General features: G+C 39.0%; 1 protein-coding gene, 1 long non-coding RNA gene and 1 pseudogene across 10 annotated transcripts in view, besides 5 other annotated features; 1 reads left to right on the top strand and 2 right to left on the bottom strand.

Moving 5' to 3' along the window:
- VAPA (VAMP associated protein A) overlaps positions 1–21,001 on the bottom strand; it is a 46,006-nt gene extending 25,005 nt beyond the window's left edge. For 2 of the 8 annotated variants that reach the window (XM_047437930.1, XM_017026079.2), the window contains exons 1-3: positions 19,952–20,413; positions 7,763–7,921; positions 3,055–3,207 (exon numbers count right to left, since the gene is read on the bottom strand). In XM_047437930.1, the coding sequence (XP_047293886.1) occupies positions 3,055–3,207; positions 7,763–7,802 (193 nt within the window). In that variant the 5' untranslated portion in view covers positions 7,803–7,921; positions 19,952–20,413. Of the gene's footprint in view, positions 1–3,054; positions 3,208–7,762; positions 10,110–10,690; positions 10,753–19,951; positions 20,414–20,681 lie in introns of those variants that run through there. The other 6 variants (NM_003574.6, NM_194434.3, XM_047437932.1 and 3 more) reach the window with 5 other exon arrangements.
- Positions 8,211–8,505: a silencer, noted in NCBI's record as "tiled region #12110; K562 Repressive DNase matched - State 5:Enh". NCBI's record gives its function as "represses a minimal TATA promoter and a strong SV40 promoter by Sharpr-MPRA in K562 cells {active_cell/tissue: K562}" and the evidence as "EXISTENCE:reporter gene assay evidence [ECO:0000049][PMID:27701403]".
- RNA5SP450 (RNA, 5S ribosomal pseudogene 450) lies at positions 10,996–11,097 on the bottom strand (annotated as a pseudogene).
- Positions 19,882–20,499: an enhancer, noted in NCBI's record as "H3K27ac hESC enhancer chr18:9914515-9915132 (GRCh37/hg19 assembly coordinates)". NCBI's record gives its function as "activates a minimal SCP1, AML or CMV promoter by ChIP-STARR-seq in naive H9 embryonic stem cells {active_cell/tissue: H9 hESC(naive)}" and the evidence as "EXISTENCE:reporter gene assay evidence [ECO:0000049][PMID:30033119]".
- Positions 19,882–20,806: a biological region, named in NCBI's record as "H3K27ac hESC enhancer GRCh37_chr18:9914515-9915132".
- Positions 20,017–20,806: a silencer, noted in NCBI's record as "silent region_9291". NCBI's record gives its function as "represses an Ori minimal core promoter by ATAC-STARR-seq in GM12878 lymphoblastoid cells {active_cell/tissue: GM12878}" and the evidence as "EXISTENCE:reporter gene assay evidence [ECO:0000049][PMID:35858748]".
- Positions 21,017–21,066: a silencer, noted in NCBI's record as "silent region_9290". NCBI's record gives its function as "represses an Ori minimal core promoter by ATAC-STARR-seq in GM12878 lymphoblastoid cells {active_cell/tissue: GM12878}" and the evidence as "EXISTENCE:reporter gene assay evidence [ECO:0000049][PMID:35858748]".
- On the top strand, positions 21,069–22,084 carry LOC124904245 (uncharacterized). Of its 2 annotated transcripts, none has more exons than XR_007066283.1 (2): positions 21,069–21,258; positions 21,684–22,084. It is a non-coding gene; the product is annotated as an uncharacterized LOC124904245 (long non-coding RNA). The 2 variants fall into 2 exon arrangements; XR_007066284.1 differs by having other exon boundaries at positions 21,069–21,305.
- The last annotated feature ends 1,867 nt before the right edge of the window (positions 22,085–23,951 follow it).

Raw genomic sequence — 23,951 nt, 5'->3', positions numbered from 1 at the left:
TTCACGCCATTCTCCTGCCTCAGCCTCCCGAGTAGCTGGGACTACAGGCGCCTGCCACCATGCCCGGCTAATTTTTTTGTATTTTTAGTAGAGACGGGGTTTCACCGTGTTATCCAGGATGGTCTCGATCTCCTGACCTCAAGATCCGCCCGTCTCAGCCTCCCAAAGTGCTGGGATTACAGGCGTGAGCAATTTTTAAGCATTTATAATTTCTCGTCTTTTAAGTTTTCTAAGGTTCCATGTGGTTGTAAGTCATGCTAAATTTATGTAACATGAGTCCAATATAACAGACTATACAAAGAATCAATCAACAGTTACACAAAATATGTACATGGCATTATAGAAATTATTTCCCTAACTTTAGATTATTTCTAAGATATATCTCTACACTTTCAAAAAGATAAACACGGGTAAATAAATGTAAGAAATAATTATGTAATAAAGTCTTATTCATAAGGTGTGTCTGAGAAGTCCATTAACTGCTATCAAGGTTAAGACAACTTTTTCAAGGGGCCAAATACACAGCAGCAGGAAATGTACTGGATAAAATGCCTCAGAATACAGCTTAAGCTAAATAAAATTCCATTAGCAACCTTCACTGAGTTAATGATTATAAGCTAATCACTATGAACCAAAAATTTGTGAATAAAACGAAAACTTACAACATGGTTAAGTTTATAGGAGTTATACTCTAATTTAGGTTGCAGACCACATAACAAGACAAAGACGATCTTGAAAACATATATAAAAATGTGCACAAATTGAAGCAAATTCAAAAAACAAAGCGTCAAAAGGACACAGGGAAAAAGAGAAATGAGCATGTAGTACAGAGAATTAACCAGAGAAGGTTGTTGGAAGAAGCATAGCTTTGAGTGACTGTAAATGGAAATACACTACACTAAAAACTGGAAAAGCCAAATTCTAATTAAGTAGAACAATCCAAGGGCATGTTTGCGTAATCAGTAACCAGTTTGTCTGAAGGTTTTAATAAGTCAGGTTTCTGTGGGAGAAAGTGTTTTGATACGTTGTTTTCTCAAGAAATATTAATACACAGAAACCAGCAATCTAGGCCCCTCAAAGAAAAAGTCATTCTGCATAGTTGTATGGATTCCTAGGGATATAACTGTTTGTACCAATAAACTATTTTTAGCCATGTGGATTGAAATAATTATATCTTCTGGCCAGGCGCAGTGGCTCACGCCTGTAATCCCAGCATTTGGGGAGGCTAAGGTAGATGGATCACTTGAGGTCAGGAGTTCGAGACCAGCCTGGCCAACATGGTGAAACCCTGCCTCTACTAAAAATACAAAAATGAGCCAGGCATGTTGGCACACGCCCGTAATCCTAGCTACTCAAGTGGCTGAGGCAGGAAAATCACTTGAATCCAGGAGGCGGAAGTTGCAGTCACCTGAGATCACACCACTGCTCTCCTACCTGGGCAACAAAGCAAGACACTGTCTCAAAAAAGAAAGAATTCTCTCTTCTTCCAATTGTGCTAAAGGCTTAAAGATGTAGTAGAAAGCAGCAACATGCAGAGTGCATGCATTCCTTCATCTTTATTTCCCATCTCTCTTTCCCAGGAACTGATGAATTAGACTTAGCAAAGAAACATGAAAAGCACTCCTCCCAGGCCTCCTTACCGCAAGACTCACTAAAACATCTTTTTCCTAGCTCTTGAGGTTTTTGGCTATACCTGCTGAGGGAAGATTTAGTGTCACCAAGAACTCTATGGTCTGTCCTTCATGGCCTTTGTAGTCAGGCTCCACCTCTAAATACTCTCTCAATGAGCCTACCCTGGGTTCTCTCTCTCTGTACCCAATTCTGCTGTGGACTTGAAAACTGATACAGAATTATTATAATATCTTAGGATTACTTATCAAGATCACCCAGGCTTTTTTTTTTTTTAAGGTACACTTTTTTTGTTTGTTTGTTTTGAGACGGAGTCTTACTCGTGCAGTCTCCGCTCACTGCAACCTCCACTTCCTGGTTTTAAGCAATTCTCTGCCTCAGCCTCCCAAGTAGCTGGGACTACAGGCGCCCACCACCACACCCGACTAATTTTTTGTATTTTTAGTAGAGATGGGGTTTCACCATCTTGGCCAGGCTGGTCTTGAACTCCTGACGTCGTGATCCACCCGCCTCGGCCTCCCAAAGTGCTGGGATTACAGGCATAAGCCACCGCGCCCGGCCTAAATGTAACATTTCTAAGTCATGCTCCTAGAGATTCCAATCTGGGAGAGATGAATCCATGTGTGTTCCTGCTCCCTGTGTTATTACAGCATATAGTGGGAGTTGAGAAGTACTGCTGTAAAGAAAGAGTAAATGCAGCCTGAGAGGTTCTCCCCTAAGTAAAATACATGGAACCATAAAAGTTCTCATATTTACTTCCTATTTCCTATTTCTCAGCTATATTAGTGAAGTCAGAGGGACTGAGAAAGAAAGAAACAGTTTATAGGGGGCATTAGATATGGTACCAGTATCAACTCCACAGCAGGAGTAAGTAATCCATATATGGCAAGCATACTTCTTTGACAAGTAAACACATAAGAGAGTAGTAAAATAAAAATAAAGTTTTCACACACAGGACACTGTTGACATTTACAATGAAAGGCATAAAGACTCATCTGATTTGACACAGTAGGCAAAAAAGTGGCATTGCACCTTTTTAAGCAAAAGAATTATGACACTTCTATAGCTGCATGCAATGTGTAATATGATCATGATCTGAAGGAGAATGACCCATCAGAAAAATGATATAATTTTTCAAAGATAAAATAACAAAGGCAGAGAAGGTAGTGGTTAGCTGTAGAAATAAAGACTAAAGTTTGTAATTGACAATAATTTCTTATAAACTGACCACACTCCCTACACAGAAGATGAGTGAGAAATTTTCTGAAACAGCTTGCAGAGTACTGTAACAAGACATCTTTAAAGGCAAAACCAGAATAATATAAGAATTATTTCCCTCCCTCCAGATGAAACCTTATTAAACAAAAACATAATCATAAAAGGTCAAAATTCAAATGTACATAAATTCAGAACATGATTTGCTACCTGAAACAGTCACAGTTGACCCTGGGTCAATAATTCCACTGTTGGGCCTCACACAGTACCGGCGAGGTGCTGTAGTCTTCACTTTGAAACACACTTTTCTATCCGATGGATTTCGCAATTTAAGATTTGTAGTGACTACATCTGTGAAGGGGCCTGTAAAGTTTAAAAATTAAAGAGAAAACAAAATTTAATTGGATTCTCAACAACGAAGGATTCAAAACTGAAAATATATAACCTCAATTTTAATTAAGTGCTGACATTTGTAGGCATAAATATCCCAAATGGCTACTAACACTGCCTTTCTCGAGGTGGCAGACTTAAAAACAAGTCATATTTTCTTCTTCATTCCCTGTATTTCACAAAATTTCTACCATAAACATGTATGATTTCTATCAAAAAAGTACTATGAAACTTTGGATCTATGAACTTTACAACTGTATTTTTACAGTATGTTGTTAATACGTTGCTGAAAATAACAGAATTTCCCAGTTGTCTGCAAACCAGTGTCAATCTTCAAGTTCATTTTACTAGGCCAACTGCAAAAATCTCTACATCTGAAGACCCTACACCCTATGACATCAGTGCTTTTGCTTCACCTCAATTTTGTTTGTTCATTCATTCAATCCATTCATTCATTCACATATTTGTTAAGTGTTTATTATGCCATATGCTCTAGATACAAAGTTTTTAAGCTTTGGTTCTGCACCCAAACAACATAAAATTACAAAACAAAGAACCCAAAAGGCTGATCCATTTTGCTGAAGAAAAGCCTGAAGAAAAATTATGCAGATTAATTTAGACAACAAAATAAATACCTGTTAATTTGGAGGAAGAACATAAAAACATGTTCCAGTTGGGAACAATAACCACAGTTCTAAGTATTCCAAAAGTAATTTTAAATCGTTCTAAAAACAATTCGTTTAAAGTTATGTATTTTTTAAAAAAGCTAGAAGGCTGGAATCAAAGACAACTATTATAAAGGCTCTCTTTTCTTTATTTCAATCTTAAGAATAAGCATGTCTTTTAAAATTTTACAAAGTCATTAAAAGACACTTATTTCAAGCCCTAAGAAGCAAAATGATTTTATGCTATGCTTAAAGTTTGTTAGTAGTAAAATATTTTCTAATAAATAAAAATTTGGAACTAGGATGAGAGGAAGGAGATAAAAATGAGTGAAAATTAGAAGCAAGCATAGAAAGGCAGAGAACCAGTTATAGAAAAGAAAGCATTTTAATATAACTAACAGGTCTGCATTTTTTTTTTAAAAAAAAAGCATACATATGACAAAGTATGATCTTCTGAACTGCTTGTTTCATTATATGGTCAAACTAATCATTCCATTTACAACATACAACCCTTGCTGCTTCTTCAACCCCAAGAGCTTCCATTATCTTTTTGAAAAGCATCTGATTAAAAACTCCACCATAAAACTAGTATGAGAGTAAAGACGAAAACTCCAATGTGTCCATTTCACTACATGAATCCACAAAATGGCTGGCTGGAGATACGTTTTGAACTGATAAAACTAGAAGTCTTAAAGGCAAATTCCATTTCTTAACATTCTCAAACCCATAATTACTACAAACGCTTAAAAATGTAAAATGTTATAGGACTATTTTGACTAGGACTTTAACATTAGTAGCAATCACAGATTAAAATAAAGATCCAATTTCTTAGTAACATGACAAAAAGACATGTCACAAAATTTTAATTTTGAACAATCCTAATCCATAGTGAATGCCTAATTATTTTAATTACATATTTATGTATTTTCATAACATAATTATGTAAGTTTTTAGAATTAAATGTTTTATTAATTTAATTCTCCCCAATTTTAAAAAGTACCAATTATCCAAACTAAGGTAAAATAATTTTTTAAACTGATTTTTAAAATGACTGTGGGTCAGTTTTCATCAACAAACTCTACAAGAGTTGTACGAATTCTGAAATAGTATTTACATTTCACGATACTGCCCACCAGGGATTATAAATTGTCAATACAGATAGTGGGCTTTCTAGACATAAAAATATAAATTATCTAAAGATGATGATAATATATCAAAAGAAATACACCTCACCCATTCAAAACTAAATTCTTAACAGGACATGTTAACTTGCGAGTAAAACGTAGAATTATCTATAATAAACCCACTTAACTACTGAATTTGAGATTTTCTGCTCCATTGTATCCCTCTAGCCTCTCAATGAGGGTTGCTCCCAGCAGATAGCTAAGAGTTTGAGCCCCTTTCCTAGTTTAAAATAGAAAATTATCAAGTACTGATGACCATTAGCAAAGGAATAACCAGATTTAATAGCTTAAAAAAGTCACGGAAAGAAATATCTGGTCCACTTTTGTGAGTCACAGAATCCTTTAAGAACCTGACGAAAGCCATATCCCACCTCATAAAAACATACATAGGTAAATATTCAAAAACATTTTACATTGACTTTTATGGAAGGTAAAATGAGTTGGAGAGCTGAGTTCAGGGATGGAGGGGTTGTATCATGTACCCCCACCCCGCCAGGAGCTGCTGATTAAAAGGCCTGATGAAGAAATCTACCTTAAGATCTTCAAAAAAGAGAAGTTATATTCTTTACTGAAAGTGCTACAAACATAACCCTTTAGGTGGTAACTGCTCCTTTCATTAGGAGCAGGGGGTGGGGGCAGGAAACAGGACGGTAGACATTCTGCAATGCAGACCCACACAATGAAGTACTATGTTCCCATTGCACCGAATTTTCAAATACTCCTCCAGAAATTCATATTGGTGAAAAACCTCTTTTCCAAGTATTCATCTATTACGTGAACAGGAAAAATGTGTACTCTTTTCTTCAAAATGTTAAAAGGTGAGTTCACTATTACTGAAGACTATTCTAACAATAGCAATGCCACTCATCATACCTGAATCACCAATACAACACATCTGAATTAGTCAGCAGGCATCTGTAGGTAACACATTCACATGAATCTACCTATATTCACATGAATCTACCTATATGCCCTAAAACGGCATATTCTTATTTTGCCCTTTTAACAATGTTAAGAAAACTGTCAGTACTACTCGGATAACTCTTATTTCTCTTAAATCCAAACTTACTCACCTTAAGTAGATACAAACATCTGACTACTGTACCTACAAACTTAAGTAGGGTACAAGTATCTGACTACTTCATTATGTCTTCTAGTGTAGTCACGCCCAAACATTTACACTTAAAATGAGCATTCCATTATAAAATTACTTCCTTTTTTTCCCCTTATGTTATAGCTAGGGCAAATATATTTTAACATTTTTAATTACATATGTTGGTCATTTTATATATGCATTTCATTTCAGGATAGCAATAGCATTACAAAATATAAAAATGAGTTATGAAGTTAGAGTTAAGAACCCCTGAATTAAACCAATAATCTGCTTCACTAATTGAAAATGTATCCTTTGTAAGCCTTAGGTGATTAAACCATCAAGAGAAACAAGTGGCCACCATAAAAGTCAGGATAATGGTTAATCCTGCAGTGGAAGTAACTGGGAGAGGGTAAAAGGAGCACTTTGCCGAATGCTAGCCAAGTTCTATTTCTAACCCTGGAGGTGATTATATGAGTATTTAACTTTTGATAATTCCTTGAACTGTATATATCTTTTATTTACGAAAAACAATAAAAATGTTTTTTCAGAAAAACTGATCCTTGAAATAACCTTGAAAAATTGAAAAAACAGTGAAAAGCAGTTTTGATGACAAAGTGAACATCTGATGCAATTTATGTAATAAATAGGTTTAGAGGATTTCTAAAACTTAATCCCTATAAATCAGGGAAATCCTATCATTTGCCCAATATGAATGCTTAGTTTAACATTTAGGAAACAATTTTTTAACTAGTCCATTTTAATCAAAAGTATTGATAGAAACTTATATTAGAGATATGTCACTGTTTATAATGAACTATCCCATATGAAAAAAGAAAACTGCATACGTTACATTTATTTGCACTCTTATATTGAAAAAAATCTACAATTAAAATACTTCTACCTTTCAATTATGTGGCTGTTGTTCTTTGGAAGCCCTACCATTTCCTGCCACTAAGTATTCTGTCCCAACTCCTCTACAGCTGTCACTGCCATTAAGCCAAAATCCTACTCCTAGTCCCAAATTTTTACAATCAAACAGAAATGTAACACATACATAAATGTGGCCTTTGAGTAAAAAAGTCTGAACATAAGTTTTAAAAAAACTTAGAGCCTGACATGTCAAAAATATTAGAAAATTTTAAGGCAGCTCACCCAAAAGTCAGTCAAGTGAGACTGGCCTGCCTCCTTTGCCTAAAAACATTTTTCCAGCAGGAAATACCCTTTTTAGTCAGTCCATATGTGTAAAATTCAACCATTCAGAACAATGACTTCCTTTTAAATAGCGGGACCTTTATTCTCCAAACCACCCAGTCTTAAAAGGAATCCCACTAAGCTAAGAAGAGCTATCAAAAAAAAAAAAAAAGAACCACTGTAACAGTTCTTAAAAACTGTTATCATTCATCCATATTTTGATGTGAACTACTGATGACAAAGTTACCTTGAAAGGCTGAGTTGAGTTCAGCTGCAAAGAGAATCAATTGTGGAGGAGGGGAACAGCTAGCTTTTCCCCCAACATTTTATTATGAAAAATTTGACAAAGAAGTTGAGATAATTATATAAACACTCATACACTCATCACTCACATTCTACGATGAACATTTTGCTGTATTTACTTTGCAGCATATCTATCTGCCCTGTCCAGACATCCACTTAATTTTTGATGCACATCAAACTAAGCTGAAGACACCAATATAGTCACTCCTGAACATCTCAGTATGCATATCAACTTTAGTATTTGTTTTCTGTTAAGAGAATAAAATTTTAATATGGGATAAGCAGTAGTATATCACACAGAGCATTTCAGAAAACAGAAAACACTTCTAAAATGTAACTTAAGAATAAACAGACAATGCACATGAACATTAATTTATGAACTCTGTGACCCCCATTTAGGCTAGTTACTCAGAGGTGTGTTTAGGAGACAATTCTCCATGGGCCTCTAGCATTTCTGCACATCTTGCAAGAAGTAGTCCTGGGGGTTTTTACCCAGGCTATCTTTTCAAGAATGTATTAAATAGTGAACTGTCTTAGAAGACAACACCTCCCTTCTGAGGAGAGGGGCAGGTTTGTTCACTGACCAATATAATCAAGATAAGGTCTTCTACTGGAACAAAGGTCAGGTAGGTTTCTGTGCAGCCCACTATGAAAGATTCCGGTTCTCTAAGCTCAGGGTTTCTAGTTATGATGCAAACTCACTATGTGAGTAGCATCTACCCGAACACCTCTGTCACCTCCATGGAACTTGAGGAGGGCAAGGAAAACAACACAAATATAAAGCCCATTCCACTTGCAGTGCCATGAACAATGATGTCCACTGTCTAACTCAGGAAATCTCATGTCTTCTACCAACATCTACAAAACTGCAGCAGGCTAAATTTTCAGTCCCTTCACAGTTCTTGACAAGGTCTTTGTAAATTCTTAGCTATGCAGTGCAGACTAATGAGGAAGGCTGGGTGCTCTGCTCAAATACACAAACAATGTAGCCACAGCAATGCAGGTGATGACTACCTTCAATGTTTCTAACAGGTTTTAGCTAATTAAGTTGTATCACTGATTAAACTGTTTCCCAGTTACACAAGGGTTATGCTGCTGAGTATCTGTGGCATCATGTTAAGGTAATCATATATACAAAACATATATTAATACTATATAGTACACAGAATATCTACTAACGGAACAGCTAGCGTTTATTGGGCACTCATGTATCAATAACTTTGTATGAACTATGTTATTTAACCCTCACAAGTCCATGAAGTAGATACTTTCATTACATTTTAATATACCAAGTTTACAAATGATTCAACTTAGAAGGTAAACAGTAGTCCAAGGTCATATAACTCAAAGCAATGAAAGTGGGAAGTCAAACCAGGTCTGACTCTAGGGCCTGAACTCTCATAAATTTTGTACGTATAACCAAACGGTATTTATTTTCTAATTCATAAGTATTCCAGGTAGACTTCTGCCACAATAAAGCATGAAAGTGCAGTCAAATTAGCAATATATGAAAAAGATTTTTAAATTGATATTGTATTTCTCTTGGTCACACAGGTCAACACTGAACACTTCCTGAAATAAGTATCAAGCACTCAAAAAATATTTTACATTTTTACATCCAAGAAAGCCCTAAAACATTCTTATTACAAATTTTTTAAATGATGTCACTTGAATTTACCCTTACTGTATGTTTTTTTCAAACACATTTAAATATCAGACTTGATGTAAGCTCCATGAATAGGTCTTTGTTTCGTTAGCTGCTGTATCCCCAGCAACTAACACAATGCCTGGTGTAGTAGGTACTGAAGAAATATTTTTGTATAAATATTTTTGTACAAATAGAGTAATACTTTCTGGGAAAAAAAATGAGTCTTAGTTCTATTTTTAAAAACTTAGTCATTGAAGCACTAAAACATATCTCTTCATAAGATTTCACTAACATCATAAAAGTATGGATCCTGAGATTAATGGAAAAGCAAGACTGCACTATTTTATTTAAGCCTCTAAGGGCTTTAATTACTGAAATTGCCTCACTGTCCATATTATACAATCATATTATACAATTATACAAACATATTATACAATCATATTATACAATCAGTTTATCCATACTATACAATCAACAGTTTCAGAATGTATCATGAAAACTCTCCAAAATCCACTTAATATGGTCATGTAATCATTTTTTATAAACCAGTATTCCCATTCTGGGAGCCTAAAATTACAGTATGAAAAAGTTACCAACCGGAAGGGACCATGTCTTTTACTTCTTTTACACCATTTTCATACAGTGTAGTATTGTTCTGGTCGTATAAATACTCATCCATCACCTTTACATAAACACGTACCTAAATAAAAAATGAAAACACTTCTTTCCATTCTTTTGGCAGCCTTCTGGGGCAAGGGAGATGCTCATTTTTGTTACTGATGTTATACTATGACTTTAAAAAAAAAAAAAGCATAATGTAGTATGTTCAATCTGAGGCTTAACAGCTAAAACCATTACCTAGCTGATGGACCTTGGGTAAATCACTTCCCCTCTCTATCCCAGTCTAACCTGCTTCATTTTAGAATTTGTAGGCAAAATGATCTCTAAGGCTTCTCTCATGTCATGTGACATTGTGATTAACTTTACTTACCACCTTAAAGAACGTCTTCTACCCGGTGGTAAAGATGGGAGATAATTCAATCTTAAACCCATCACAGCTTTATTGACATTTCATCTTAAAAAACTACCTTAAACGTTTTAGGAGTGCTTTTTAAGGTATTCTGATGCATACACTGCTCAGTCTGACCTAAACAATCCTGGTGACATAATCTTGAAAACAAGGCAGAGAAAATAAACAATAGTCTTAACACAGAAGTGGAACACTTTGATTTGCAACATTTCATACCAATTTTATGTCCCTCCACTCTAAACTTCCAAAGAACAATAAGATGTACACATACGTAAATTATTTGTAAAAGAACAATGTTAGTGTTCAAGAATGAACGTGAAATTAGTGCATGCTACTTACTAATAATTTAACATCTTGATTAAAATAGAAACGAGCGGTCCACATCTAAAGTTTAAGTTTTTGGATTCTAGACAGGTAGGATGTAAAGAAATAGAAAAGAAGGTACATTTTCAGAGAACCTGAAACAAACTTTTTTTTTTATTATTTAGATCTAAAGTTTTTGCTAGGGGAAAATATAACATGAAAAAATGATCACAATAATCTTAACTAAAAACATACAAAATACAAATATATAATTATACACAGCATAGCTATAAAAAGTTTATCAAAATGTTAACAGAGGTTATTTTGTGAGATTGAGTAATTTTTATTGGCTTTATAATATCTCCCATCCAAGTACTAACCAGACCCTGCTAGCTTCCGAGATCAGACGAGATGGGGCGCGTTCAGGGTGGTATGGCCATAGACAGCTTTATAATATCTATACTTTTTCCATTTTCTAATTTAGCACTGATTTTATATAACAAGGGACTTTTAAACATGTACCCATAGTAGCTTAATTTGCTTATAAATCCTCTTACTTGTAAAATCCTGGAAGAAAAAACTGAAAAAATTCAGAACCACAGATTTTTTGGGGATCTGTTGTTAGTGAGGTTTTTCTCAGTGGGAACAGTACTCAGAAAACAAGACCAAGAGATTCTGGCCCTACAGGCTTTAAAAAGTAAAATTTTTTCACAGGAAAAACTAAACAGGAAACACTGTATGATTTAAAGGCACCCTATGTCTTTAAAGTATGACAGTCACTCCATGTCATATTATTCAAGAATTAAAATTATATACATATTCATATACACTTCACACATATACACACATACATGAAACATACAGCTACAAAAGAGCTGTCAAAACATAGGCCCATGAGAAATTTGTCAAGTTATACTATAAACATACGTTTAAAAGTCCTCTCATAGCAACAATTCTTTTTTAATTAACATCCCTACTTTTTAACGGTAATTCAATCTAATCATTTCCTTAAAATGCTAAAAGTTTAAAAGTCCTCTCATAGCAACAATTCTTTTTTAATTAACATCCCTACTTTTTAACGGTAATTCAATCTAATCATTTCCTTAAAAAGCTAAAAGATACGTAACTAAACTTCTCACTCCTTTAAATCTGAATTTTCAGAACAGTATCAAACATTAGTGATAACTAGTTATAAAGAACATCCAAACACCAGAGAAAAGCAGCTAAGCATGCTATGGTATATTAATGATGCATAAGTCAGCAAAAATGATACGGAGGTTTCTTTTATAAGCATTGAAGACACTAGTTTAGACTTTTTATAAAGTGAAATATGTGTTACAGAATAACAATTACAAAGTGAAATATGTATAACAGATTACAGAATTTATTTTTTATAAAGTGAAATGTTAAAGAATAATGTGTTACAAATATGGCTTCAGAAAATATCAAATTCAATCTCATTTAAGCAAAGAATATTTTATTATTAAAAAAACCCATACTGAAGAGTTCATCATAAAGATGTAAGCAATTCAATGGCACAGGAAATGAAGTATAACTGGCATCACAGGAAGAGGCTGTATTCAAGAGAAACTAATTCCTGGGATCAAAAGACCTCTCTGCCTACGTTTCTCTGCCTTTTTTCTCTCAATTAGTTGCTTCTGCTTGCCACTGGTCCAAATTAGCCACTGTTTTGTCTCCCAGTCCATATGACCTTGAAGGTCTGAAACCTATAACCATCTATTTATAGTTGTGTTTCAAGGTGAGCCATCAAAATTTTGACTGGTCAGTCACCAGCATATATATTGGCTGGCCTTGAATCTAGATTATAAACAGCCTCTTCCTGTGAGACCAGGTATACCTGATTTCCTATGCCATTGAGATTGCTCATTAATAAACTCTTAAGTGTGATTTTGTTCTTTGTAATAGACTAAATATTAGAGGATATCAAAGAATTACTGTTAATGTTATTACGTGTTAACAGTATCATGATTATGCAAAGAAAATGTCCTTTTTTGGTTATAAATGCAAACTCAAGTATCTAGGGATGAAATGTTATGCTATCATTCAGGATTTGTTTTAAAAATACTGAGGCAGGCCAGGTATGGTAGCTCATGCCTGTAATTCCAGCACTTTGGGAGGCTGAGGCAGGAGGATCGCTTGAGGCCAGGAGTTCAAGATCTGGCTGGGCAAAATAGCAAGACTGTCTCTACAAAAAATAAAACATATAATAATTAGCTGGGCACAGTGGCATGCACCTGTAGTCCTAGTTACTCAGAAGGATCGCTTGGGCCCTGGAGTTCAAGGCTGCAGTGAGCTATAACAGCACCACTGCACTTCAGTCTGGTGTCAGAGTGAGACCGCTGCAAAAAAATACAAACATGGAGGCAAACAAAAATATATAAATAAACACGTATGATTATAGTAAAATGTCAATTATTAAATTTATATTTAAATTTAATTTACTAAATTAACGCATACTGAGGTTCATATTATAAGGTGCTCATGTTTGAAAGTTTTCAAACGTTTAAAACTTACTAATTTAAAACTAATTTGAGTCACATTTCAGTTATAAAATGAATTAAACCAGTAAACAAGCATTTGCAAGTTAACAGTCCTCTCGCACATTTAATTTTTTTCCAAAACTAACTTTATGATCAAAAGAGAGCAAGATCCATCCTGTATCAACTTCCACCTCTGAAAGGCAAATAAGATTTCACTAAATGGTCAGTAAAGGTAAGATAAAAAGAAACTATGTTGAGATGATGCATATGTCAATTTGCTTCACTATAGTAACCATTTTACTATCTATATGTATCCCATAACATCATGTTATATGTATACCTCAAATATACACAATGAAATCTTTTTAAAGGATTAAAAGTATAGTTTTCCCTATTCTTTATATGCATTTTTCTGCTTCACAGAAAAATAGCATTTTCTTTTTGTACTCAATTGTCATATATTCACACAAACTTTTAAAGACAGAACACCCAAGAAATCACCTAGTCCTAACCTCTTACTTTACAAATGAAAAAAACACAAACATCAAACAACCTACCTTTAGGGTTAGTCAGCTCTTTACAAAATAGCCTACCACCCCTTTTCTGGAAGTACAAAATTTTGAAAGCACTATTACCTGCAAAAGCAGGTGAAAACTCCAACTGAGTCAAGATCCAAGACCAAAAAATAAAAATTACTGGAGAAATCATCTGAGTCTTATTAATTCAATCAACACTTACTGGGCAATCATTTTATGATGCCAGAACTTGTTACTACAAACATTAACAGGTATATACTCAGAGTTCATAGTATAGTTTGGGAGGGGAGAATATGTAAGCCTAACTACTATCTAATGTGAAAGTACTGTTATTACAGGTAAGCACAAGCTTCAACAGTGGCATGAAGGCTCTGACCAACTTGGACTGGTAGAGTATCAACGACTTCTCAAGAGGAAGTGATTCTTGAAATAAGAGGCTGCCTGACAGACGTGAGGGAGGACAATATTCTAAGCAGAGCCTGTGCAAAGCATTGCAGTGGCCTGGAGTGTTTGGGAAAATGGTTTCATATAGCCAAAGTTATGGACAGAAGAAAAAGAATAGACACTGAGGCTGGAGAGTTAGGCAGTGGATTTTGGATTTTTCAAGTACATAGTAAGAAAACATTTAGAGTTCTTCAATCAAGGGACTAACAGTAACAGCCTCCTTTTTCCAAAGCGTAGTTCCAGCAGCAGTGTGGAGGACAGGGTAAAGAGCTGACAATAAAGGAGGCTGGGCACAGTGGCTCACGCCTGTCATCCCAACACTTTGGGAGGCAGAGGCAGGTGGATCACTTGAGGTCAGGGAGACCAGCCTGGCCCACAGGGCAAAACCCCGTCTCTACTAAAAATACAAAAATTAGCCAGGCATGGTGGTGCACGCCTGTAATCCCAGCTACTTGGGAGGCTGAGGCAGGAGCATCGCTTGAACTCGGGAGGCAGAGGTTGCAGTGAGCCGAGATAGCGCCACTGCACACCACCATGGGTGACAAAGCGAGACTCCATCTCAAGAAAAAAATGAAAGAAAGAAAGAAAAGAAAAGGAGATGTCTGCTGACTAGTAAATATAAAAGGACCTGAAGTAAGGAAATTATCCAAAGCCCAGACCTTTTCTTAAGTAACACACCCATTTAACCAAATCCACCTTCATGTTAATATCCTGAAAGACCTAAACATATCTACCATACGTCCTCCTCCTCCATCTCTCTCACACACCCCCAAATAAGATGCATTTCGTCCTCATCCAGACATCCACCGTTTCTCAAATAGCACCACCATTTCCCCAGTTATATAAGCAGAAATCTCAGACATTCATACCCTTTTCTCTCAGTGCACATAGAGACCACCAAGTCTCACAGATTCAACCTAACTTTTCATCACCTCCAATACCATGACCTCAGTCCAAGGGGTCACCACTTGCCAGTACTGCTGCAGCCGCCTAATTCATCTCTTTCTCCCCTCTAGTATAATTTTACATTGCTACCAGAATTATTTTTAAATGCAAATGTGATGTTATTCGATTCCCTCCATCTTTACTGCTCCTCCCCTCACTTAAAAACCCTAGTGGCTCAGGATAAAAACAAAACTCCTAACTTGACCTACTAAACCAGCACTACATTCATCTTGACTATTTTCACCACTGCCACGCCGACCTCTTTCAGTATGGTAAATGTTTCACAGTCCCTCCTGCTACCGGATATTTGAACATGCATTTTCCTTTCTTCTTCACCAGGATAACTTTTACTCATTGTTGGAATCTTAGTTCAACTGTGACAGCCTGATCGAAGACCCTTATTTTACATTCTCGTAGCACTATATAGCTCTTCAGGGGTACACTTTATTCTTCTGATTATTTTATTAGTATCTATCTCTCTTGTTAGAACTGCCCCATGAAAACATGGCTTGTGTTTCACTCACAACTGTAGTTCCAATATTTATTCATCATACCTGACATGTAGCAGATACTCAAATCTAATCAAATTAGATCCATAATTGAATGAATTTTAAAAATAAATGAATTTGGAAGTAGAAACACATTGAAGTGGACAAAGGGATTATGTCAAAAATAGAAACACAGATTTTAATTATTAGATATGCATATTGTTTCTGGTGTGAGTAATCATGATGCCACTAAAAAATAAAAATAAAGCCAAGTGCAATGGCTCAGGCCTGTAATCCCAGCACTTTAGGAGGCCAAGGCAGGAGGATCACGCAAGGTCAGGAGTTCGAGATCAGCCTGGGCAACACAGCGGCACCCCCATATGTACGTAAAAAATTAGCTGGGCATGGTAGCATGCACCTATAGTCCTAGCTATTCAGGAGGATCACTTGAGCCCAGGAGGTCACGGCTGCAGTGAGCCAAGAACGTGCATGCCACTGCACTCCAGGTTGAGCAACTGAGCAAGACCCCATCTCAAAAATAAAAATAAAAAATATGGGAAGAAGAGTAGGCATGGGTAGTAAAAATTTTGAGATATTTTGAGTTTAGAATATCATATCTGTGCAATATTCAAATCTAAATAGTGAATAAGTTGTTTGAGTATGTGCTCTTGACTGACGGTAAAATGTGAATTAAAACAGACTTGGGGGTGTAGCAATACCTGCAGAGAGCAAGGAAGATAAAGAGAAAACCTCAAAACAATGAAATGAACAAAGAAAGTTCACAGAGTGAGATAAATGAAACCAAATCAGAATCTCAGAAACATGAGCATTTGAGGAAAATGCCACAAATAAGACAATAAATGGAGCAAATAAGAAAATTAGAAGACAATGCTGTTATAGAAGCCAGAAGAATTGAGGGTTTTTTTTAGAGAAACTGTCGGTACTGTCAAGAGCCAGGGGGAGGTCAAGTAAGATAAAAACTGGAAATGATTAAGTTAGCAATAAGTAGTGAGAGGATAAAAGTACCGTGGACTAAGGAGAGAATAAAAGGTGAGTAACTGGAAAAACAGTGAATATGGACTATTTTTCCAAAAAGTCTGAATGCAAAGGAAATGAAGGACAGGGAGAGACACATACTAGAAAGAGTTATGGTCAAAGAAGTACATGTCTGCTCATTTGTTTTTAAAATCAAAGACTCTGGTGTATTTATATGTTAAAACAATGCAGCCAGTGATTGAAAACCAGCAGGAAAACATCTCATGGAACATGGTCTGAGTCATAAGGAATTTTACCTTAGCCAGCAAAAATAGAGGAACAAAGAACCTTGGGTATGAGCAGGGTTTTTCTTTCTCAGGGAAGAAAGTATGGATGTGTACAGACTAACAGGTGTTACAAGAGGAAGGCACATCATGGAAGAGATGGTATGTCTTACTGAAAAAAAAAAATCTGACTTTTATTCTGTGAGCAATTGAGAGTTACCTAAAAACTAAGGAATGGAGTAATATATGATTAAAGATTACATTCATGTCTTTAGAGCCCCAGGCGTTTTGTATAGCCACTGGGAAACATGAAGAGCCGACTGGAAACACCTAAAAATGTGCTAAATATCCATCCAGAGGAGTATTCTCTAATTTCCCCCCCGCCCCGTGCTGCTTCTATGCAGATGCACTAGCTGATGTTAACACCATACGTCCCTCGATCCCTCAGAGAGCTTAATTTTCTTTGTTGATTTATTGTTATCGGCCACTCTCAACATAAGGATTTTGGTTTATTTTCGTCTCTCTCTGATCATTAAGAATATATTTGAAATTTATTTTAGCATTTTATAAACTTTCTTCTTCAAACTTTTCTACAAAACTGCTAATAGGGGTCAGGTGCGGTGGCTCACGCCTGTAATCCCAGCACTTTGGGAGGCCAAGGCAGGCGGATCACCTGAGGTCAGAAGTTCGAGGCCAGCCTGGCAAAATCCCGTCTCTACAAAAAATTCAAAATTAGCTGGGCATGGTAGTGCATGCCTGTAGTTCCAGCTACTCTGGAGACTGAGGCAGGAGAATTGCTTGAACCCGGGAGGCAGAGACTGCAATGAGCCGAGATCGAGCCACTGCAACAGAGCAAGACTCCGTCTCAAAAAATAAAAAAATTTAAAAAAACTGCTAATAGGTAGAAAAATAAAATGTGTAATACATTATAAATGGAATTTTATCATGTAAAAAATTTTAAAGACAAAAAAAATCTTTCACATAAAATACCAAGTTTCAAATCTGAAATCTAGGTAAAATTACTTCCAAGGTTTAAACAGAATTTGAAGTAAAGCAGCGTCTACTTCTTTTTCTTTACTAACACAAGTGATCTACTTCAGAATTCATTACATCGTAAATGCACTTTTATATGTTAACGACTGTATAAAACAAACTTTTTTTTAAATACTGAGGTATACAGAAAAATGTACTGAAATAGTTGGTGTCTGCTTTTGCAAAATTGTGCAACATACTGTTAATTCATCTTCAAGATGCTTGTTAGGTGTATAAAAGAAAAACCATCCAATCTCAGAATGATTACCTGAGTCACTCCTGGAGAAACCATCTCAAACTCAGAATCAATAACTAAAATAAACCTACTAGAAGATGACAAAGAATTTTGCAAAACTGTCTTCTAAAAGTCCTTCACTTAGAAAGTTTTGAATGACTTAGGGTAAGTCAGTTAAATGATTTTTTTCTATCATAAACTAAGCCCAAGTAGACTGTACATTCTAAATGAATCTCCTCAGTGTTGAACTGTGCATTTAAATACACAAAGGTTTCCATCAAAGCCAACAATTTACCTTTGACTAAAACGATAATATTAAGGAATCAAACACCAAATGTCACCTCCCAATCCTCCCCATCATCTCCATCTTTAAACTGAAACACACAACAAACTATTGGGCATTTAAGTACCAGGCATTCTCTCACAGCAGTGTGTTTACTCAACCACTCTCTTGGCCTAAACCTCCCCTGAAATGAAAAACAAGCCTTTTCCTTAAATGCTTCCTAAGGGAGGGATGGGGCACATAGAGAAAGGGCTTCTTTCCTCAGACACGGTTGTGTCTCTGTTATACCATCTACACACCTTTTCTGCTTCCCTGGCTAGTCTTATTTTTACTGGCAACACAAAAACAATGAGTTCTATAATCATAGCTGTAATTCTCCAACACCCCCAAAAAAGGAAATATATGAGTAAGTCACTGTGTAGGGCTTTTGCTTGTTTTTTAAACTTGCTTCTCCACTATTATTACTCCCTTACTATAGCAACATAACAACTTCCCTAAGGAGAAAACTTCAAACTCTGTGGACATTTCCTGGCCTAAAACTGGTTGTAAAGGCTTATAAATCCCTAATGGCAATTTACACATAGTTATCCAGTAGAGGAAATGTTCACTGTAAACACAGCCAATCAAAAGATAAAAACGAAATATTAAAAAAAAACACACCATACAGATTTACATTAAATTATCTCAAGATAATGGCTGAGTCAGGACTCTTCATAATTCCTCAAAGGTTTTCCCCCAGCTACAACTACGTAAAAATCACACAACTTACATAAACTTGCAATAAAATACATTCACTGCACCTTAAAACCAAATCCTTACCCAACAAGTAGCTCACTTACACTTCTATTCAAAGAAATTTGTAAACGCACTAAAAAGCTTGCAATGTAGTTATGCAATATTAATCTCATAATTCCAGAATATATTTTAAATTCCTAAACCTGAAGTTTTTCCTATGGAAAACAATGTAGTTGGCTTTCTCTTGGACTCAGCCTTACACAACAATAAAGGATTTAATTTTTTCTTTTAGCACTAGAATTGCTATACACCTCACAAAAATTGTTCTCATTCAACAATTGAAATACAAGACATAGACTTCCAAAACGGGACTCACTTTACACTTAACTAAAGATAGGAAGGAACCTACTTTCTATTAGATGTTCACACTCTTTCAGTATTCCTTAAAAACAAAGAAAAAAAATAAAAATCTGTACATTTTAACTCTCTTTCCTAAAGTACACTACATATTGACAAGGAAACCGACCAAAAGCCCCTGGGATTCTTCCAGGATCACCAAGTCAGACTAAAAAACTTATCACAGGCAGTACTACAAAAACCTACAAAGTTCCAGAGCTGGGTGACACCTTATCAGCCTTCTCAGGATCTGTCGGAAACCGCAAACGTAAAAGCAAAAAAGTCACACGCACTGAAGGTTTCTCAGCAGAGGAGCTCAACTAAAGGGCTAAATAAAAGCACGCGGGTGGCACACTGAAATGTCGTAGAAGGCAGGAAGCCCCGCTACTATGAACCTACAACTCTCCGTTTGCGGCTGACGCATCGCTCCTGCCCGCACGCACCTGGGTCCGTGCCAACAGCACCGGGCAGCCCTCGCCAGGCACCTCCAAGGACTCTCCACCTCCCCGGCGCGTCCTACACCTGACGGCCGAGTTCTAAACCTGGCGGAAAGGTGACAAGCGACGCCCTCCGCGGAACCCGAGGGCCGGCTGCAGCGAGCTCTCCCCGGGCCGGGGCAGGGGTCGGGGGGCGGCTCTCACTCCCAAGGGGTCCCGCGCCGTGCCCTAGCCTCCCCGCGCCGCTGACAGCCGGGAGCGGGCGACAGACGCAGCTTGCGCCACCTCCAGAGCCCACTCCCCGCCGCAGCCCAGAGCGCACGCCCTCGGGTGCCCAGCCGCCCACGCCCCGCCGAAGCACGCCGTCGGCCTCTGGGGCCAAGGACGCGGGCCCAGGCGGACCGCGGCGCGGGCGGGACCGGACGCCCAGGAGGCGCCCCCGCGGGACCGCAAGATGGCGGCGGCGGCGGCGCCAGGGCCGGGCTCCCCTCCGCCTCGCCCCGGCCGGCGCGCGCACCGCAGCGAGGGCGGGCGGGAGGGGATGAAGCGGGCCGGAGCAAGGGGCAGGCCGGCCGAGGTGGCGGCAAGAAAGCAGCCGGGAAAGGGAAGGCGCCGGGGCGTGGGGGAGGGGGCGCTCCCTCGGGCCAGGGCCGCGGACGTGCCCTCCGCGCCCCCCCGCCGACAGCCAGCGGTCCGCGCGCCCCACCCCACCCGGGGGTGTCCCCGTTCTGCCTACCTTTGAATTTGAGGTCTGTGGGCGGATCGAGGACCAGGATCTGCTCGTGCTTCGCCATGGCCCCTGAGGCGGACGCCATCGGAGAGACAGCGCAGAGCGGGGGCGCGCCCGCGGCGGCGGTTTGCTGACTGGGGGCGGGGGACGACGGCGGCGACGGCTCGGCCGAGCTCTAGGACGAGGCCAGGCTCGCGGCTCCCGAGCCCTAACGCCTGCCGCTGTGTCACCGGTTCGGTGGGCCACCCGCTGGGTCAGCAGCTCCGGGTCCCACAACTGACTCAACCCCACACCAGCCGCCACGGCCACGCGCACTTGCGAGCCTCGGCGACCCACGTGACGGCCTCTGCGTGCCTACGTGCGCGCCCCCGGCCGGGAGCTTCTAGCGCTTGTCCCGCCCTCCAGGCCGGCCTAGCGCGGCGCGGGGCTGCTGCGCCTGCGCGCTCGCGGCTTGCCGCGGCCCGGAGCGCAGCCCAGCTGTCAAGGGAACGGGTGTGGAAGGAGGCGGGGCAAAGGTCCGCGGGACCGACGCGATGCGCAGCGCAGGGCTGGAAGCGCAGTCCTCTGTCACCTTGAGCTCCGAGTACGGAACTAGAGAAACTGCTCTGGCAGCGCATCACACTCTTCCAAGTGGGAATGCCCAGTGGAAGGGACAAGTAGTAGTAGGGAAGCGCCCACTCACTACAACTCCCGGCATGCCCCCTGCGGGGCGGGGCCTTCGCCGAGGGCCTGGCCCTTTGCGGCCCTGCGCGGTGCTTGCTGGGAACTGTAGTAACGGCTGTTTGAGGGTGGAAAGGAGAGCTAGGTCTGTTGGAGGCAATGGGGTGGGGTTCGCGGACGCTAATTTTGGCTCTCAGAGCGCGTCTAGTTTGCGCTAAAAAAGAAAAAACTTGAAGACTGAAACGAGGCCCCAATGTTAGAAATATATTAATAAAATCTGCCCTGTGGAGAACAGGCGTGGGGGGATGTGTCCGTTTGCTCTAATTCTATCCAGTCCTCTGTTGGCAGGGCTGCATTCCCCGTGGTATCCAATTCAGCCTCTCCTGCTTCCTGAGTTCTCTCCAGTGATGCAAAATCAGATAAGGAAACACACCTCGTCTAGGAAGCAAGGGGAAATATGACAAAGCACACAGAAACTAGAAATAAAAGTCAAAAATCTACACCATCGAACCCAAATAATCTTCTTCAGTTTTAATGATGGACCCAAACCAAAACAGTTCTCACGTTCACATGTTAGAAACTAACTCCATCTGCATCACTTACGATAGGCTGTAGTAAACTGAACCAAATAAGAAAAATCCCAGCAGCAAACTTGCTGACAAAACTTTAGCCGATTGCCAGGGTAGTCCGGTACAGGAACGTCAAATGAAACCAATGTGCTGTAAATAAACCTTTATTGTATTTTGTGATACGGTTTGAATTTAAATCCCTAGGTAGCGCCACGAAACAAAAGACATATTGATGCTACTGCCATGGAGCAGCACAGTTTGTCTAGAAAATAAACGAGACGAAACAGCAGTCTAGAAGTAGGCACCAAATCCAAGTTTTCATGTGCGATCCAGGTATTAGGGTCCATCCAGGAACAGCCTGCTGGAATTGCTAGCCTGGCATTCACAGAAGATTGTGCCACCCACGAGGAATGTGTTTTCAGCCCTGAAATTCCTGGGAGTGAGAGGTGAAGCCAGCTGGATTTCTGGGTTGGGTGGGGACTTGGAGAACTTTTCTTACAAGAGGATTGTAAAATGCACCAATCAGCACTCTGTAGCTAGCTAGAGTTTTGTAAAATGCACCAATCAGTGCTCTGTAAAAACGCACCTATCAGCACTCTGTAGGTAGCTAGAGGTTTGTAAAATGGACCAATCAGCACTCTGTAAAATGGACCAATCAGCAGGGCATGGGCAGGGACAAATAAGCCAATAAAAACTGGCCACCCCAGCCTGCAGGGGCAGCCTGCTTGGGTCCTTTTCCACATTGTGGAAGCTTTGTTCTTTTGCTCTTCACAATAAATCTTGCTGCTGCTCAGTCTTTGGGTTTGTGCCATCATTTCTTTCTTTCTTTTTTTTTTTTTTTTTTTTTGAGAGGGAGTCTCGCTCTGTCCCCCAGGCTAGAGTGCAGTGGCGTGATCTCAGCTCACTGCAAGCTCCGCCTCCCAGGTTCACGCCATTCTCCTGCCTCAGCCACCTGAGTAGCTGGGACTACAGGCGCCTGTCTCCATGCCCAGCTAATTTTTTTATATTTTTAGTAGAGGTGGGGTTTCACCGTGTTAACCAGGATGGTCTCGATCTCCTGACCTCATGATTCACCCGCCTTGGCCTCCCAAAGTGCTGGGATTACAGGACTGACCTAGTGATCCACCCGCCTTGGCCTCCCAAAGTGTTGGGATTACAGGCATGAGCCACCACGCCTGGCCTGGGTTTGTGCCATCTTTAAGAGCTGTAACATTCACCGTGAAGGTCCGGGGCTTCATTTTTGAAGTCAGCAAGACCAGGAACCCACTGGAAGGAATCAACTCCGGATGCAGGAGGATAGAGTGCTTAAGTAGTTTGAAGCATATTCTAAATTTACCTTTACTGTGATTTCTTCCTATTCACAAAATTTATTTTGAGATGTCAATTATCATTAAGGTAGAATACAAAAAAAATTGTTTATTAAAATGGGGGTTCAAGTTTTGTTTTTGTTTAAGAAAAAAAAAAAGCTAAAAGTGACAATCAGTCCAAAGGATAGTGTCCCACATAGGTTTAGTTGTGAATTGACAACCCTAAAGGCCCTCACAAACTCCAGTTTTTTGCCGGCCTAAGAACTCTCTTCCATGGGCCAGCTAGCCTAGGCTGATCCAGTCCCTCCATAGCAGGAAGCACACTTCTCTTACCGGAAACCATTTGGGAAGCCCCCATGTGCAAATAGTCAACTAGCAGAATAGCATGCGGAGGAAATTCCCAGTAACTCCCCTATGGGAGGATGAATGATCGCCCATTCACTATAGATTTAATGGGAAGCCTGAATTGGATGTATTCTAGTTTCCCAGTCTATATTATTAAGAAATCTCTGCCCATTTGAGTCATCTGTCGTTGGAATCAACTGTTTTTTCACTTCTCAATATTGCTTCAAAAATCATGTAGGTATAGTCTTAAAACATATAAGAATTTAAAATTCTAATATTCTAAGAATATGTGAAACATCTTGGGATTAATCCCCTATTCGTATTTTAGAGCATTAGATTAATAATCACTGAGTCATTTTGAATCTTCTACTTCACATCGAATTGTGCACTATTTA

This window comes from Homo sapiens, chromosome 18, assembly GCF_000001405.40.
Source record: "Homo sapiens chromosome 18, GRCh38.p14 Primary Assembly".
Lineage (NCBI taxonomy): Eukaryota > Metazoa > Chordata > Mammalia > Primates > Hominidae > Homo > Homo sapiens.
This window is presented reverse-complemented; position numbering and strand designations above follow the sequence as displayed.